Here is a 17,430-nt window from a genome sequence, read left to right as displayed (position 1 = left end):
CTAAATGTGGGAGTTAGCTATTATTGTGTCTCCCGCAAATATTTATCAATGTATCAGTAAAAATAAAAAGACTCTCTTTATTATACTAAAAGAAATAAGAAATAGTTTTTAGGCCTTAGTCCCCAATCTCATAAGCCTCAGCGAATGCCTTTTTAAAAAAACAAACAAAAAAAAAACTTAAACTTCCCCATTTATGAACCTGATACCTGATAGAAAAAAAGAATCACACAGATTTTTTTTTTTTTTTTTTTTTTTTGAGATGGAGTCTTGCTTTGTCGCCCAGGCTGGTGCGATCTCAGCTCACTGCAACCTCCACCTCCCAAGTTCAAGCAGTTCTCCTGCCTCAGCCTTCTGAGTAGCTGGGATTATAGGCATGTGCCACCACACCCAGCTGATTTTTGTATTTTAGTAGAGATGGAGTGAACCATGTTGGCCAGGCTGGTCTCGAACTCCTGACCTCAGGTGATCCACCCACGTCAGCCTCCCAAAGTGCTGGGCTTACAGGCTTGAGCCCCCATGCCTGGCTGCTTATTTCTTACATATGAGGGAAGATGCACTAGATGTTACAAAATGCTTGGGGAGGTGGGGGTGGCAGCCAGGCAGAAGAGGAACACTCGGGGGAAGTATAAAGAACAGGGCTGGCCGGGTGCGGTGGTTCACACCTGTAATCCCAGCACTTTGTGAGGCCGAGGCAAGTGGATCATGAAGTCGAGTTCAAGACCAGCCTGGCCAAGATGGTGAAACCCCGTCTCTACTAAAAATAAAAAAATTAGCCGGGCATGGTGGTGGACGCCTGTAATCCCAGCTACTAGGTTGAGGCTGAGTCAGAGAATTGCTTGAACCTGGGAGGCGGAGGTTGCAATGAGCCGAGATCACGCCACTGCACTCCAGCCTGGGCTACAGAGCAAGACTCTGTCTCAAAAAAAAAAAAAAAAGAACAGGGCTTATTTGCCAATTCTTGTTCCTGCCCTTCAGCTGAAATGTGTTTGTGAAATGCAAACACATCTTTACAGAATGTGCAAAGTTCCTGGCTTCCTCTTATGAGGCTTTGTAGTTTATTAATTCCAAAGTATGACATGGATTAGGATTTTTTTTCCTTACCTCCCTTGTTAAAATAGAAAGAAAACAACCATTGGTAATTTCAGATGGTTCCATTCTGAAAAATTTATCAGTAGACAATTGAATTTCCTTTAAGGAGCACAGTGGAAGAACAGGAGGACTAAGCCTGCAGCAGACAGGAACAAGCATTCAGCAGTTAGAATGGCTTCTTTGCCAAGAGAGGAAGAAAGTAAATTACACTACATTTTTTTCTAGTATACTTTACCAATCGTTTAAACAGAAATTCCAATCAAGAACACAATTCTGAAGCAGCCTTTCCCTAAATACTATTATAAGTTAAAAGCTCTAATATTTTATATTCATAATTTATTATAAATCCCAGATTCTCCATCTTTAACCAACTATGCCAAGAATAACAAATGTTTAACAAACTAAAAACTGACCTTCCCAAAGTCACTAATATGGCAGTAAAAGCTTTCCATTATCAAAGCAGGTAAATATGTACATTAATCACAGTTATCCAAAATGTCCTATATTTCTACCATTTTCAAAATACAAAGGAGAAAACGTTTTCTTTTGGTTACTTTTTGCACAATTACAATATAAAAATATAGCCTATCACTTTAATTACATTATTCTTCCCAGTCACTTTTTGAGGATTAATAGATGAGTTACATAGTGTTCAAGAAAGTACATAACAAAGACTTTGTGTCAGAAAAATCTCAAATCATGAATAGATTTAAAATGAAAATTTCAGTTTTTATGTTTAATATGAATTTATCATTTCTTAGTAAGTGGTTCATCATGAATAATAAATGATTCTATTTCCAGGCTTATATTATTAAAATATATTTAATAATAAGTTAAAGCAATTAAACACTATTCCACATGAGTTAAACTATCAGGAAATCTTTTATTAATCATTGTGTCCTGGCCAGGTGCCGTGGCTTACGCCTGTAATCCCAGCACTTTGGGAGGCCGAGGCAGGCAAATCACTTGAGGCCAGGAGTTCGAGACCAGCCTGGCCAACATGGTGAAACCCCGTCTCTGCTAAAAATGCAAAAATTAGCCGGGTGTGGTGGCAGACTCCTGTAATCCCAGCTACTCGGGAGGCTGAGGCAAGAGAATTGCTTGAACCTGAGAGGTTCAAGCCAAGATTGCACCATTGCACTCCGGCCTGGGCAACAAAAGTGAAATTCTGGCTCAAAAAAACAAAAATTAGCCAGGTGTGGTGGCAGGTGCCTTTAATCTCAGCTGCTTGGGAGTCTGAGGCAGGAGAATCACTTGAACCCAGGAGGTGGTGGTTGCAATTAGCTGAGATCACACCACTGTACTCCATCCTGGGTGACAGAGCAAGACTCCATCTCAATAATAATAATAATAATAGTGTCCATGTGACACAGCTACAAGCCAAAGAACAGCAAGGACAGCCAGCAACCACCACAAGCTGGGAGAGCGCAGGGGACAGGCCTCTCCAGCACAGGCCCCAGGAGGAATCCAACCGGCCAGCACCTTGCCAATGCCTTGGTTTAGGACTCCCAGCCTCCGGAACTATGAGAGAATAAATGTTTGTTATCATAAGCCACCAAGTTTGGAGGAATTTCTTTCAGCAGCCCAGGAAACTAACACACATGACAAAGGGGATTTTGCAGATGTAGGATAGGTCCCACGTTAGTTACCCCGAAGATAGGGATATTATCTGGGTGGATCTGACCTAATCACATGACCTTTGAAATCAGGGTCTAGAGGTCAGACATGGAAGAAGTCAGAGATTCAAAACACAAGATGCTATGACAGCTACTGCAGGTGCACAGATTGGGGAACTCGGGACAAGGAATAAAGTGGCCTCTAGGAGTGGAAAGCAGTCAAGTGACAGCAGCAAGGAGACGAGGACCTCAGTCCCGCAAACACAAGCGTGGGTTTGGAAGTAAACTGTTCCCAGAGCCTCCAGAGACTTCAGCCTAGCTCATATCCTGAGCAGAGAACCTGGCTGTGCCATGCCAGATATATCTGACTTATGTGACCTAAGTAATAGATGTTTTTAGCCACTAAGTTTGAGGTAATTTCTTAAAAAGAAAACAAACACACAATGGCTCACACTTGGTGAGGAAGCAATGCCAGGCTGCAGATGGCAAGCAGTAGAAGAAGGAACAAGAGGACAGAGAAGTGAGCTCGCTGCCGTGGATAACACTATTAAGGCTGGAAAACCCACCAGAAGGCTATGTTGAGAGGAGGGTCCCAAAAGTACACCCACTATCAAGCAGCAAGGAATGGCCTGGTGAGAGGGGCACCACAGCACTGAGAGGTTTGGTGGTGGTTTTCCTCTGCAGGCCAGGGCTGACAGTAGGGGATGCAGTGACACAACTGGGCTCATTGACAGCAATGAAAATAATAGGATCCTGAAACAAGAGAGACCAGGTGAGCAAATTAACCACCAGAAGCCAGGCATGTGCAGATACTGATGACCATAATGAGTACTAAGACCAGAGAAGCATGTACTCTGGTGCGTGCACACTAAGACCTCTCATGCACTGCTCACCTTCGTGCCCTCCACTCTTACTAGGTAACAGAAAATCAAAACACAGAACACAACCTAGACCTCAAGCTCAAAGACTGTTCACTATTAGAAAATGTAATTTTCTAATAGAAAATTGGAAAATGTAATTACTAAATGTAATTCACTACCATGTTAAAATGTCAGATGAGAAATAATATCTGATCATATCATTAAATGCTGCAAAGGCTTTTCATAAAACTAGGCATCCATTAGTGATTTTTTTTTTTTTTTGAGATGGAGTCTTGCTCTGTCACCCAGGCTGGAGTGCAATGGCGTGATCTCGGCTCACTGCAACCTCCGCCTCCTAGTTCAAGCGATTCTCCTGCCTCAGCCTCCCAAGTAGCTGGGATTACAGGCGCCTGACACCACGCCTGGCTAATTTTTTTATTTTTAGTAGAGACGGGGTTTTGCCACATTGGCCAGGCTGGTCTCGAACTCCTGACCTTAGGTGATCCGCCCACCTCAGCCTCCCAAAGTGCTGGGATTACAGGCGTGAGCCACCATGCCCGGCCCCATTAGTGATTTTGAAAACCTCTTATTGTGCTGTTGGCTTAAGTATAGACATATAAATCAACGGATAGAATGAGAATAGAATGAGAGTCCAGAAATAAGCCCATGCATCTATGATTAGTGGGTTTTCTATTTTCTTTCTTTTTGTTTTAGACAGGCTTTTGCTCTGTCTCCCAATCACAGCTCACTACAGCCTTGACCTCCTGAGTAGCTAGGACTACAGGTAGGCACCACCACACCTGGCTGATTTTTTGTGGAGATGGGGTCTCTCTATGTTGCCCAGGCTGGGATTAACTAACTGATTTTCAACAAGGGTGCCAAGACCATTCAATAGGGGAGAATAATCTTTTCCACAAGTGTTGCTGGGAGAACTGGATGACCACACGCAAAGAAGGAATTTGGACTCCTAACTCTTATCATATACAAAAGTTAATGGTGATTGTTGTACAACTTCGTGAATGTATTAATATTTTAAGGCACTGAATTGTACACTTTAAAATGGTGAATTGCATAGTATGTGAATTACATCTCAAAAAGCTTATTAAAATAGGAATAGTTACCTATACTTGATGTATATCTATAACATAATATAAACATACACATGAAAAAAAGCTCATCATCACTGGCCATCAGAGAAATGCAAATCAAAACCACAATGAGATACCATCTCACACCAGTTAGAATGGCGATCATTAAAAAGTCAGGAAACAACAGGTGCTGGAGAGGATGTGGAGAAATAGGAACACTTTAACACTGTCGGTGGGACTGTAAACTAGTTCAACCATTGTGGAAGTCAGTGTGGTGATTCCTCAGGGATCTAGAACTAAAAATACCATTTGACCCAGCCATCCCATTACTGGGTATATACCCAAAGGACTATAAATCATGCTGTTATAAAGACACATGCACACGTATGTTTATTGCGGCACTAGTCACAATAGCAAAGACTTGGAACCAACCCAAATGTCCAACAATGATAGACTGGATTAAGAAAATGTGGCACATATACACCATGGAATACTATACAGCCATAAAAAATGATGAGTTCATGTCCTTTGTAGGGACATGGATGAAATTGGAAATCATCATTCTCAGTAAACTATCACAAGGACAAAAAACCAAACACCACGTGTTCTCACTCATAGATGGGAATTGAACAATGAGAACACATGGACACAGGAAGGGGAACATCACACTCTAGGGACTGTTGTGGGGTGGGGGGAGGGGGGAGGGTTAGCACGAGATATACCTAATGCTAAATGACAAGTTAATGGGTGCAGCACACCAGCATGGCACATGTATACATATGTAACTAACCTGCACATTGTGCACATGTACCCTGAAACTTGAAGTTTAATTAAAAAAAAAAAAAAAAAGAATAGAATGCAGTACAAAGTGTCAGGGTAAAAGGTACTTACTTTTTCATGCAATATATGTAATTGTGTTCTGAGTTGTGATATAAAATGTATTTCCTACTGTAGGTTTCAATAAAAAAGTTTATGGTGTGATACAAAAAAACAAACAAACATACACATCCATGTAGTTGCTATTCAGCTGGTACATGCTGGTGTGGCTGTATCAGCAGTAAAAATATCAAAATTTCTGGGCTTACTCCTACTTGCTACCCCAGCTCTCCAAGTGTCCCTCCAGACCATCACATAATAAAAAGGGACCTAGCTCATCAAGGGACCTCCAGAACCCTACTTCATCCCTTTAATGGGATATTTTAGGACTAGAAGTGGCAAGATGTAGGAAGGAAATTGTTAACCATTTCATTATGCATCTTTGGATTGTGGGTGGGGTTTATGTAACAAAAAAAAATATAAAATTTGAGAAGAAACCCACTCAAAACTACAGTGGTTATAGCATTGTCATATTAGTATAGAAAGAGCCAAACGTCAATGGAATAGAATTACAGATCCACACAGTATATATGGGCTTAAAACGTAATTTTAAAAGATGGCATTTTAAACCAAAGGGGAACGGGGGCCAAGGAAAGATTATTTGGGGAAAAAATAAACCTTGATCCATACTTGACTCTCTTACCAAAATAAACAGCAGAAAACTCAATTATTTAAATATAAAAAAGATGAAATTATGAAAGTACTATAAGAAAACTGATCAAAGCATTCATAAGCTAGGAATTCACATAACACAAAATGTAGAATCCATAAGGAAAACATTGATACAAATGTCTACACAGAAATTGCTGTAAAGCGATTACTTTTTCTTTTCTTTTCTTTTTTTTTTTTTTTTTTGAGACAGAGTCTCCCTCTGTCACCCGGGCTGGAGTGCAGTGATGCGATCTCGGCTCACTACAGCCTTAACCTCTTGGGCTCAAGCAATCTTCCCACCTCAGCCTCCCGAATAGCTGGGACTACAGGAGTACACCACCACCACACGTGGCTAATTTTTGTATTTTTTTGTAGAGATGAGGTTTCACCACATTGCCCAGGCTGGTCTTGAAAACCTGAGCTCAAATGGCCCACCCACCTCAGCCTCCCAAAGTGCTGGGATTACAGGCGTGAGCCACCATGCTCAACCTATAAAGCAAATTTTTAATTCAAGTATTTATTTAAAAATAAAAAGATAAACAATCTGAAAAATATCTGTAATTCATATGAAAACAGCAACTCTTCCTAATATATAATAAGACATGTGAAAAGAAGAAAAAGAATAATCCAGTTGAAAACAGTGGGAAAGTACATGAACATGAAATTTATAAATAAATAATAACAACTATAACAATTTAAAATTATTGAACATTTATTATATGCCAGATACTGCTCGTGTGTTAATATATTCAATCTCCACAAGGATCTAATGATGTAGGTAATATCATTAACTGTATTTCACAGCCACCTTTTACAGCCACTTCACCATTCACAATACCCTTCTCCCACTTAACAAAAAAGGTATAACTGTCACTACCTTGTTATAGTCCATTGTCCTGGGATGTTAACATCTCCAGGATGCCAACAAAGGGACAACTCAGGAATGTGGCCCTCTTCTCCCATGGCAATGCAAGAGTTTAGGTAAGAAATCTTAAAGAGGGTATCAAACTCAGCAAACCTTCCTCCCTCCCTCCCTCCCTCCCTTCTTTCCTCCCTCCCTTTCTCCCTTCCTCTCCTCCTACACTCACTTCTTCCCTCCCTCCCTTTCCCTTCCTTATTTCTATATATCTATCTTAGAATTCAAATTTAGAAGAAAATCACAAAAGAATATTAATGATTATTTGAATTAAAGAATAAAGTCAGACCTTTTCTGACAAGGTAAATTTGGTTTTGACAATGAGAACTGGTTATATAAAATAGGTAACAAATTTAGCATTTTTCCATAAATCAAATAAGATAAATAAATCTGCAGGTCCAAACATTTAACAGAAATATGTTTAAAACACATATGTAATATAATATTCCAGAAATAATATATTTTGCAGCTATTTAAACTTACGATGAAAATGTTAGACATTAAGTCTAAAATAAAGAACAAGATATATAGTTATTCAAAAATGTTTAGGGGCCGGGCATGGTGGCTCACGCCTGTAATCCCAGCACTTTGGGATGCCAAGGCAGGTGGATCACTTGAGGTCAGGAGTTCAAGACCAGCCTGGCCAAGATGGTGAAACTCCGTCTCTATTAAAAATACAAAAATTAGCCAGGTGAAGTACCACGTGTCTGTAATCCCAGCTACTTGGGAGGCTGAGGCAAGAGAACTGCTTGAACCCAGGAGGTGGAAGTTGCAGTGAGCTGAGATCGTGCTACTGCACTCTAGCCTGGGCAACAGAGCAAGACTCTGACTCAAAAAAAAAAAAAAGTTTAAGGATTATTTGAGCAAAAATGTTTGACAACCACTGCTCTAGAATCCCTACTTTTAACCACTCCACAGTACACTGACCAGTCAGTAAACAGGAAGCATACTCAACCTCAGTAATAGAGAAATGAAAATACAATCAGTAACGACATCTCATGTTTTCACCCCACAAGTGAGTAAAGATTTTAAGTCTGATGAAGCTCAGCATTTCTGAAGCTGTGGGAAAACAGGTTTATAAGAGTGAATGTCTTGGTAGTAATTTGACAATATCGATTAAATCTTAAAATATGCACATTCTATGGTGGTGGAAAAATCTAGAAGACTATAAATCAAATTGTTAAGAACAATTATATATAAGAGGATGCCATTTGGAAAAAGGCTTTTGTTTTAAGTTAGTACTTCTGTAATGTGAAATTTTTACAATGGGGAACAAAAAAAATTACAAATTTGCAAATTTTATCATGACAGCTGAAGTCCAAAATGAGCTGAATATTTCTGGGATATTAAAAAGAAATACAAGCAACAGGTAGGTGATGAGATTAAATGACATGTAATATTGCTTTCAACTCTAAATTCTACCACTTTGGGGTACTAAGAAGTGATTCTTGGTATAATTCCCTAGGTAATGCATAATTTCTTTTGGCAGCATCCCCAACAAGTAGTTATAAACATCTTCAATATATGTACTCTCCAATTTGAGCTCAAATCTCAAACCAATATAGAATTATGGATTCTGTCTTTATATTACTTGTGTCTTTTATGCTATAGATTAATCATTAATCATGGCTTGCCTAAAATAAAATCAATATTCCTCCACGTTTGCCATATCATATTCTTTTTTTTTTTTTTTAAACACACAGGGTTTCACCATGTTGCCCAGGCTGGTCTTGAACACCTGAGGTAAAGGTATGTGCCCACCTCAGCCTCCCAAAGTGCTGGGATTACAGGTGTGAGCCACCGCACCAGGCCAGCCATATCATTTCTTAAATCCCAGCACTTTGGGAGGCCAAGGCAGGTGGATTACCTGAGGTCAGGAGTTTGAGAGCAGCCTGGCCAATACGGTAAAACCCCCATCTCTACTAAAAATACAAAAATTAGCCTGGCGTGGTGGCACTTGCCTGTAATCCCAGCCACTTGGGAGGCTGAGGCAGGAGAATTGCTTGAACCTGGGAGGCGGAGTTTGTAGTGAATCGAAATGGTGCCACTGCACTCCAGCCTGGATGACAGAGCAAGATTCCATCTTTAAAAAAAAAAAAAAAAAAAAAAAAAAAAAGAAAAAGGCCCTATGGAATCTTGGTTAAATTTGTAAGAAGTCAGGCAATTTTATCATACTAAAGTATAATTTTAAAAAGTAGAATGTCTTTATACAACTTAGAAAATAATATTTTTCCTTTTAAAAAATATTTGTTTGAGTTGTTTAGAAGAATCCTTCCTTTTCTTACCTGTAAGGTTGTCCTTTATTCCCAAGGTCTTGAAATTCCAGTGCTTTCTTAACAACAGCTTCATTTTCTTCTGGAAAAACTGAACATGTGCAGTAAACAACTGCTTGAGCTTTAGTAACTATATTAGAAGAAGATGCAATGACTGTAACAACTATATTAACAATCCTATACAAATGTGCTATGTTTCCAAACATCTATTTGATACTAATACCACATGGTTTTGATGAGAATAATTTCCCCAGATGCTTGAATGGCTCCCCTTTAAAGTAAAAGCTTGTCTTAGTAATTTAGTCTGTGGCCAGTAAGTAAAGTCACTCTAACTGGATTGTATGGAAATTGAAAATTCAACAAAAAATGAGGCCAACTTAGTTATAAACACAAATAAATAAATACTGCAGGTTACCATGAACTTGATACTTCTGCCCATTCTTCTACAAGCGATATTGCCTAAATAGTTTAAAGGACTCTAGAAACAGACAGACTTAGAGGTGAATCCCAGTTCTGTCACTTACTGCTGTATGAACCTGGGCAAATTACTTAAAGTCTTAAATTTTTCATCCGTAAAATGAGGTAATACTACCACCTGCAATTCACTCATTGATTCATACTTATTGAGCACCTACCACCTGCCAGACAGGCACTGTTCTAGGCTTTGGGATACAATAACACAAACAAAAATCCTTGCCCCTGTGGAGCTAACTTTCTAGTAGAGGAGAAAGACAGTAAGACAGAGATAAATAGGAAAACTATATAGTACTGTTAAGTGATCAATGCTATGGAGAAAAGCAGAGCCGGGTGAGGGATAGAGAGTTCCAGGAGAAATAGTGTGAAATAGAGCAGTGAGAGAAAGCATTGTTGAGATGGCAAACTGTGGGTAGACTAGATGGAGATAAGGAACCAGCCACAGAGCTATTTAGAGAAAAGCATTCTAAGGTAAAGGAACAGCCAGTGTAAAGGCCTGAAGTCAACATGGTGCTGGTATGTTCCAGGAAAGTGAAGGGGCCGGTTTGATCAGAGCAGAGGGAATGAAGAGAGAGTAGTAAGTCGAAGTCAGAAAGCATGGTCTGAGCCCCAGATAGTACAGGGACTTGTGGGCCACCGGAAGGGCTTAGGTTTTTACTTGGGTTATGATGGGTTTTAACAAGATCACTCCAATTGCTGTGTTAAGAATAGAGTGCAGAGGGCAGGGGCAGAGGCTGGCAGAGAAATTAGGAGGTCATTACAGTAATTCAAGTGTGAGGTGATGGTGGTTTGGACACCGTGGTAGTGGTGGAGGTAGCTGGATATATTCTGGATATAAGTTGAATGTAGAACCTACCTCATACACTGACAGACTGGCTGTGGGTATGAAAGAGAAATCATGGATAATGCTAACGTTTTTAGCCTAAGCGGGTGGAAGGCTACAACTATCATTAACTGAAATGGCAGTACTGTGGGAGGAACAAGTATGGCGGGAGGAAGATCAGAGCTTCCACCTTAGACATGTTAGCTTTGAGATGACTATGAGTCCCTAAGTGGAGATGTCAAGAAGGCAGCTGGAAATATAAGCTTAGAGTTTCAAGAGGAAGTTTAGACTGGAAATACAGATTTGGGAGTCACATAGAGGTGTTTAAAACCATAAGACTAGATACAATCACCAAGGGATAAGTATAGGCAGAGAAAAAAGATCCAAGGCATGGACTGTGGCACACTCCCATGTTAAACAGGGTGTTGAGACAGAGAGGACCCAGTAAGGGAGACAGAGAAGGGGAGGCCAGAGAGAAGGCCTGGAAGGTGGTGCCCTAGAAGACAAGTGATGGAAGTGTGTGAAGGGAGAGGAAGCGACCACTTCTGTCAACTGCCACAGACAGACCTAGGTAGACCAGGGCTGGCAACTGACACAACAGCATGGGGATCACTGGCGATCTTCACAGGACCGTTTCAGTTTAGTGGCAGGAGTGAACGTGTGATGGCAATAGCTCAAAAAAGAAGGAGAGGAAAGACTGAGGAAACACTGTTCCCAGGGGAAAGGCAAGTTACAGGAATTTTTTACAAAGGGGGAGGACATTCAAAGAAGTTAAAATATAGGGAATTTTTGTTGATGAGGAACTATAAATTCTAGAGAGCACAGAGTGAGAGATGTGGACAAAGGGATATGAAGAGAGTTATGGAGACCAGAGTATAGGAGATGAGGAATGACCTGGAGTCGGGGCCTCTTGAGTTAATTGTCATTAATAGGTGTAAAGGATATAAGGAGACATGTTTCTTATAACTTGATTTATTTGTATTTTTTTAATAGATGGGGTCTTGCTCTGTTGCCTAGGCTGGAGTGCAGTGAGGTGATCATGGCTCACTGCAGCCTCCAACTCCTGGGCTCAAGCAATCCTCCCACTTCAGTCTCCCGAGTAGCCTGCATGCCCCCATGCCTAGATAACTTTTTTTATTTTTTGTAGAGGCAGGGTCTCACTATGTTGTCCAGGTTGGTCTCAAACTCCTGGCCTGAAGTGATCCTACCATGTTGACCTCCCAAGCACTGGGATTTCAGACATGAGCCACCATGCCTAGCCCACTTATTTATTTATTTATTTAGAGACAGAGTCTCACTCTGTCACCCAGGCTGGAGTGCAGTGGTGCAATCTCAGCTCACTATAACAAGTGATTCTCATATCTCAGCCTCCCAAGTAGCTGGGACTACAGGCATGCGCCAACACGCCCGGCTAATTTTTGTATTTTTAGTAGAGATGGGGTTTCACCATGTTGTCCAGGCTGGCCTCAAGTGATCCGCCAGGTTTGGCCTCCCAAAGTACTGGGATTACAGGCATGAGCCACCACGCCTGGCTCCCACTTACGATTTTAAAGTAGAGAATAGTGGCAAGGCTGTGAGTCTTAGAGGGTAAGGGAATTAGGGGTGCCCGAGCCCCCTTGTTGCTCTGGTCAAAGATAGCATGGAAGCTAAGGAAGAAAATTTGGTGATTACTAAATAAAATGATACATATAAAGTAAGCAGCAGGTGCCAGGCACATAATAAGTAAACAATAAGTGCTCAAATATTTAAAAATTATTTTCACAACTAACAAGGACTCAGCACAGTTACCTTTTGGTATTTTTAATTTGTATTTGTTTTTACTCTAATCCCATGACAGATTACGTAATTATCTTTTATGTGGTTGACTTCAAATCGGGCTTTTAATCGGTTCTATCAAAATCTGGAGTCAAACCCCTGATTACACACCTGACTACCTAAGACAGTATTTCCTTATGGGAAACTAAATACAACTTGTTTTGACTTACAGTATGTCTTCCAGTAACATAAACTGCCATAATCTCAAGAGTTGCCAAATTTTATGTTTATTTGGCATCATAAAAGAGTTTATGTCATTAAAATCCCTTTGCTTTTCAGATTCTTTCTGAAGCTTTTTTAAGCTTGAAATATCCAATTAAAATTTAATTAAAATGCTTCAAGTAAAAGGCTTATTATTTACCAAATTCCTGATCTTCCAATCAACTTATTTCCTAGATCATATCCATATCATGTTCAAATGAACATTTATTAGCAATATGAACTAAAAGAAAAAGCCTCCTCTGTGCTTTCTATTTACTTATTTTTTGCTTTTACTCCTGGCAAGCTGTGACCTCTGTGATTTGTATAGGCCTTATTTCTACCTCATGTGTGTTTATATATTTATTTACTGAATGATCTATACTCAGATCTGTACCTATAATATAGATGGGGTCTATGCCCATATCCATTTATCTTTAAGCCTTTGCAGGTCAGGATTTGCTAACACTGATACACCTTACATACAGCTTAATACCTGACCCAAAGTGAGCACTTTATAAATATATACGGAATTAATAAAAGCTTATTAATTTCTCAGAGACATCTAGATTCCTGTGTGCATATGTGGAAAGGCAGTGGTACTCAAAATCTAAATGAAGTGATTAAAGCAATGATATAAATCACTCAAAGTGCCGCCTTGTTACTCAAACTTCAAATCAAGAGATCTAGGCTTTCTCTGCGATTGCACCTCTCTGTTCTCTACTTAGCACTAAGAGAAATAAGAGTTTGACTAAAATTTGGACTGTAGAAGAGTTGTTAAGGGTAGGCACAATGACAACAGAAAAATTATATCGAGTAAGAAATCTAAGAGAAGAAACAGGAAAGCTGAAACTACAATTACAAATATACATAATTATTTCACTTCGGCATTACAAAATTGGTAAATTATGCTTGCTAACCTGTTTAAAATTACAGTAAAGCATATATTCTAAAAACAGATTAAATTGGTAAAGATAAATATTTTGTTATTTGAAGGCAGTAAGACTGAATGTTCTGGAAAATGTGCTCATGGCTCACACTTCATTGCTTGATTATAATAGATCGTGAAAGACTAATATTTCTAAAATGTACACCTTATTTTAACAAGATGGTGCCTATGACAACCTTACATTTCATTGCATGTGTTAGCTGTTCATACTGCTGTTGAGCAAGAACGTGAAGTTTGTCCACTGAGATGCCTCCTTGAGAGTGATCTTTAAGGAATTCTGTATCTGAATTTTAAAAAGAAATGCTTTTAAATATAGCACCATTAAAAACTTTTTACATATTGTTATCATCATATAATTTTTCAATCATTTTGCCTACCAATAAAAGTGTTTCATGGAAAATATCTATTAAAACTAAATAGATATTAAAATGTTGACTTAAAAATTAGAACAATAAAGTTAATTCTGTTTCATTTTAATATTGCTTTTCAAAAACAATATTGAAAATATTTAATATTGTTTTTCTCCAAGTTGCTATGAGATAGTCATCCAAGTAGTCATATAAGTCATTTAGACACAGAAGAGAAAATGCCGTCAGTCTCGAGACTAATACTGGATAGAGAAAATAAGATTTATTTTCCAAGATAAAAACGAATGGGCTATAGTCAGATCTGGGAACACACAAGGATATGGTTTAAAATACTAACTTTCCAAAAGAAACTTTGGAAGAAAAAATTCAGAAAAGCAAATGTTATGTCTTCATAACAGATTAAGAAATAATGTCTTACATTTTTTAATTTTTGAAAAATAATTTAAATATATGTATTGACAATATTAATGAAGATATACTGAATGCTACTTTATGTAGATTATTTTAACGACCTCTTGAAGAATTACTAGCCCTTCTAACATTGAGATAATTGTTTAAACATACATTAAACAACTTGTCTAAGGTTATATAGCTACTAAGTGGACAGCCAGGATTCTAACTCAGAAATCTAACCAGAGGACCCAAATTTTTAAACTCTGTATTATACTGCCTCTCTAGAACTCACTAGAGCATGACAGCCAATTATTTATACCATGTATGTGGCTGTTGCCCATTCCAGTACTATCACTAAAGGTTAATTAAACTCCATTTCTTCCCAATTTAGTTTTACATTTCATGAGGTTTTGTTTTTTGTTTTTTGTTATTGTTGTTGTTGTTGCTGTTTTTTTGAGACAGGATCTCACTCTGTCATCCAGGCTGGAGTGCAGTGGCACCATCTCGGCTCACTGCAACCTCTGCCTCCTGGGTTCAAGCAATTCTCATGCCTCAGCCTCCTGAATAGCTGGGACTACAGGTGTTCACCATGATGCCCGGCTAATTTTTGTATTTTTAGTAGAGACTGGGTTTCACTATGTTGGTCAGGCTGAACTCGAACTCCTGGCCTCAACCGATCTACCCACCTCAGCCTCCCAAAGTGGTGGGATTACAGGTGTGAGCCACTGTGCCTGGCCTACATTTCACATTTTTTTTCTCTGTTCTAAAACTATCCATTACTTGTTAAAGGACTATTACAAATTATTATACTCCAAAGTCGTATTATCTATTTCTTTAATTCTATCTTAAAATAATTCCAAGTCGTTAGCAAGGACCAACTTCATATATTTCTCAATGGTTCTAATATTTTTCGATGTTAAAATGTTTTTAAAACTAATTCCTTATTGTTCCATTCTACCTTGTATCTAAGTTTAATAAAATAATCTTTCGGATTCACCCCCACTAAGTTTCTGGCTAACGTTCCACGTTCCCACCAGAGTCACTAGGTCGGCAGCTCCTTATTTGCTCAAGCTTTTAGCTCCTCAGAGTACAGGTTCCTTCAAAAGCCCGCTTACTTCAGGATACGACAACTTTTTTTTTTTTAAATGAGATGGAGTCTTGCTGTCGCCCAGGCTGGAGTGCAGTGGCGCGATCTCGGCTCACTGCAGGCTCCGCCCCCCGGGGTTCAAGCCATTCTCCTGCCTCAGCCTCCCGAGTAGCTGGGACTACAGGCGCCCGCCACCTCGCCCGGCTAATTTTTTGTATTTTTAGTAGAGACGGGGTTTCACCGTGTTAGCCAGGATGGTCTCGAGCTCCTGACCTCGTGATCCGCCCTCCTCGGCCTCCCAAAGTGCTGGGATTACAGGCGTGAGCCACCGCTCCCGGCCAGTATACGACAACTTCTTAGCTTATCCTATCATCTCCTCATCAAGGCTTTCAAAACATTACCAGTACCTAGGAAATGTTTTCCTTTCCCCACTTTCCTTATTTGTATTTTCCTCTGGGCCTTTCTCCTCTAGCCTTTAGTTTATTTTTATTCTGTGGTTTATTTTTTTTCTGGATTTCCACCTCAAAATGGCCCAGGATAAGGCCAGAGTCTCACAGTTCTGAGCTCTAGTTCTCCTGACTGCTATGCTTATTATAGCTGCTATTTCTTCCCCCTTTTTTCCTTCCCCCTTTTCTTTCAGTGTCTACTAATTGTTCTTTGATTATTTCTTAAAGTTCATCTAGAAATTTTCTCAGCCTACCTACCATTCTACCATCTGAATTGGTTATTCTTTGGCTGAAGTCTCTCTGGAAAGAAATTTTCTATAGCAAGTCAAAATTCCATGTGGTACAGTGTAAACCCAGTTAAAGATAGTGTCGTTTAGTGGAAGGAAAATGTGCTAACCCACCTGAATTTGAATCCCAGCTTCCCTACTTACTAGCTACATGACCATAAGCAACTGGTTTAATTTTTCTGAGTCTTGGTTTTTTTCCTCTACAATTAGAAGAACACTAACCTCAAAAAGTTATTGTGAATACTAAGTGACAGTATGTGAACACTACCTAGAATATTGCCTGGGACATTATTGTGTTTAATAAATATTAGCTCTTTTCCCTCCATTTCTTTTCCTCTTCTGTCCTTGCTAGAAACAGAAAACAGTTACTATATTCTGTACATTTGTGGGGTGTCTTCTTTTTCTAATATTCTAATTAACCTTTCAATTTAATATGCCTTTCAATATAAGCAAGGGATAAGCATAAGTTTCATTTAATTTGGAGCAATATAATGTGATTAAGAGAGTCATTAAAAGTGCCAGTCTCAGAGTCAGACTGGTTGTATTTGAATCCAAGCTCTGCCTCTTACTAGCCCAATGATCCTAGGAGACTTCATTAACTTCTCTGAGCCTCAGATTCCTCATTTGTAAAATAGAAGTTAACAAGTTACTACTTCACAGAATTCTTGTGAAGACTTACTGAAATAATCCAAGAAAAGTGCCACGCCCAGGGCCTTACATCTAAGTGCTCAATAAATGTTAATGTTAAATAATTATTATTTTAAATGTATTTAAAAGCCAATAAAATTAAATGTCAATGCTTCTATATTTAGTCTGAGACATTCATTTCATAAAGCATACATCCTAGCGATTAAGACACCTTTGAGTTTGAAATAATCTGATAATGATTTAATTAGAATCATGTTTAGAACATAGGCTCTAGAGTCAAACAGATCTAAATTTGAATCTTAGCTCTGTCTCTAGTTGCTTGACCTGAGAAAAATGAATCAATCTTTGAGTCTCAGTATTTTCATCTATAGAATGCCGGTAAATTTTAACACTTACATCAAGAGCTCTGGTATATTCAGAATAGCATACTGGCCAGCATCTTTTCTGATTGCCTACATTATTCCAATTATTAAATATTTTGAATATCACCCTGGTCTATTGGATTGGTGTAAGGATTAAATGAGGTAACAGAGGTAAAGGACTTTATACATAGTAAGTACTTTATATGTGGTT

At 39.0% G+C, this 17,430-nt stretch overlaps 1 protein-coding gene across 10 annotated transcripts in view, besides 3 other annotated features; it reads right to left on the bottom strand.

Annotated features, from left to right (window-relative positions):
- Positions 1 to 17,430, bottom strand: part of NSUN7 (NOP2/Sun RNA methyltransferase family member 7) — a 61,230-nt gene that overhangs the window by 2,899 nt on the left and 40,901 nt on the right. For 5 of the 10 annotated variants that reach the window (NM_024677.6, XM_017008611.3, XM_047416172.1 and 2 more), the window contains 3 exons: positions 13,810 to 13,911; positions 9,382 to 9,499; positions 1,102 to 1,225 (listed from right to left, as the gene is read on the bottom strand). In NM_024677.6, coding sequence (NP_078953.4) covers positions 1,102 to 1,225; positions 9,382 to 9,499; positions 13,810 to 13,911 — 344 coding nt within the window. Of the gene's footprint in view, positions 1 to 1,101; positions 1,226 to 8,051; positions 8,156 to 9,381; positions 9,500 to 13,809; positions 13,912 to 17,430 lie in introns of those variants that run through there. The other 5 variants (NM_001330648.3, XM_047416171.1, XR_007057964.1 and 2 more) reach the window with 4 other exon arrangements.
- Positions 120 to 620: an enhancer, noted in NCBI's record as "H3K27ac hESC enhancer chr4:40809683-40810183 (GRCh37/hg19 assembly coordinates)". NCBI's record gives its function as "activates a minimal SCP1, AML or CMV promoter by ChIP-STARR-seq in naive H9 embryonic stem cells {active_cell/tissue: H9 hESC(naive)}" and the evidence as "EXISTENCE:reporter gene assay evidence [ECO:0000049][PMID:30033119]".
- Positions 3,446 to 3,565: an enhancer, noted in NCBI's record as "active region_21501". NCBI's record gives its function as "activates an Ori minimal core promoter by ATAC-STARR-seq in GM12878 lymphoblastoid cells {active_cell/tissue: GM12878}" and the evidence as "EXISTENCE:reporter gene assay evidence [ECO:0000049][PMID:35858748]".
- Positions 7,797 to 7,926: an enhancer, noted in NCBI's record as "active region_21500". NCBI's record gives its function as "activates an Ori minimal core promoter by ATAC-STARR-seq in GM12878 lymphoblastoid cells {active_cell/tissue: GM12878}" and the evidence as "EXISTENCE:reporter gene assay evidence [ECO:0000049][PMID:35858748]".

This window comes from Homo sapiens, chromosome 4, assembly GCF_000001405.40.
Source record: "Homo sapiens chromosome 4, GRCh38.p14 Primary Assembly".
Lineage (NCBI taxonomy): Eukaryota > Metazoa > Chordata > Mammalia > Primates > Hominidae > Homo > Homo sapiens.
The sequence above is the reverse complement of the archived record's forward strand: the minus strand, read 5'-3'. Positions and strand labels throughout refer to the sequence as shown.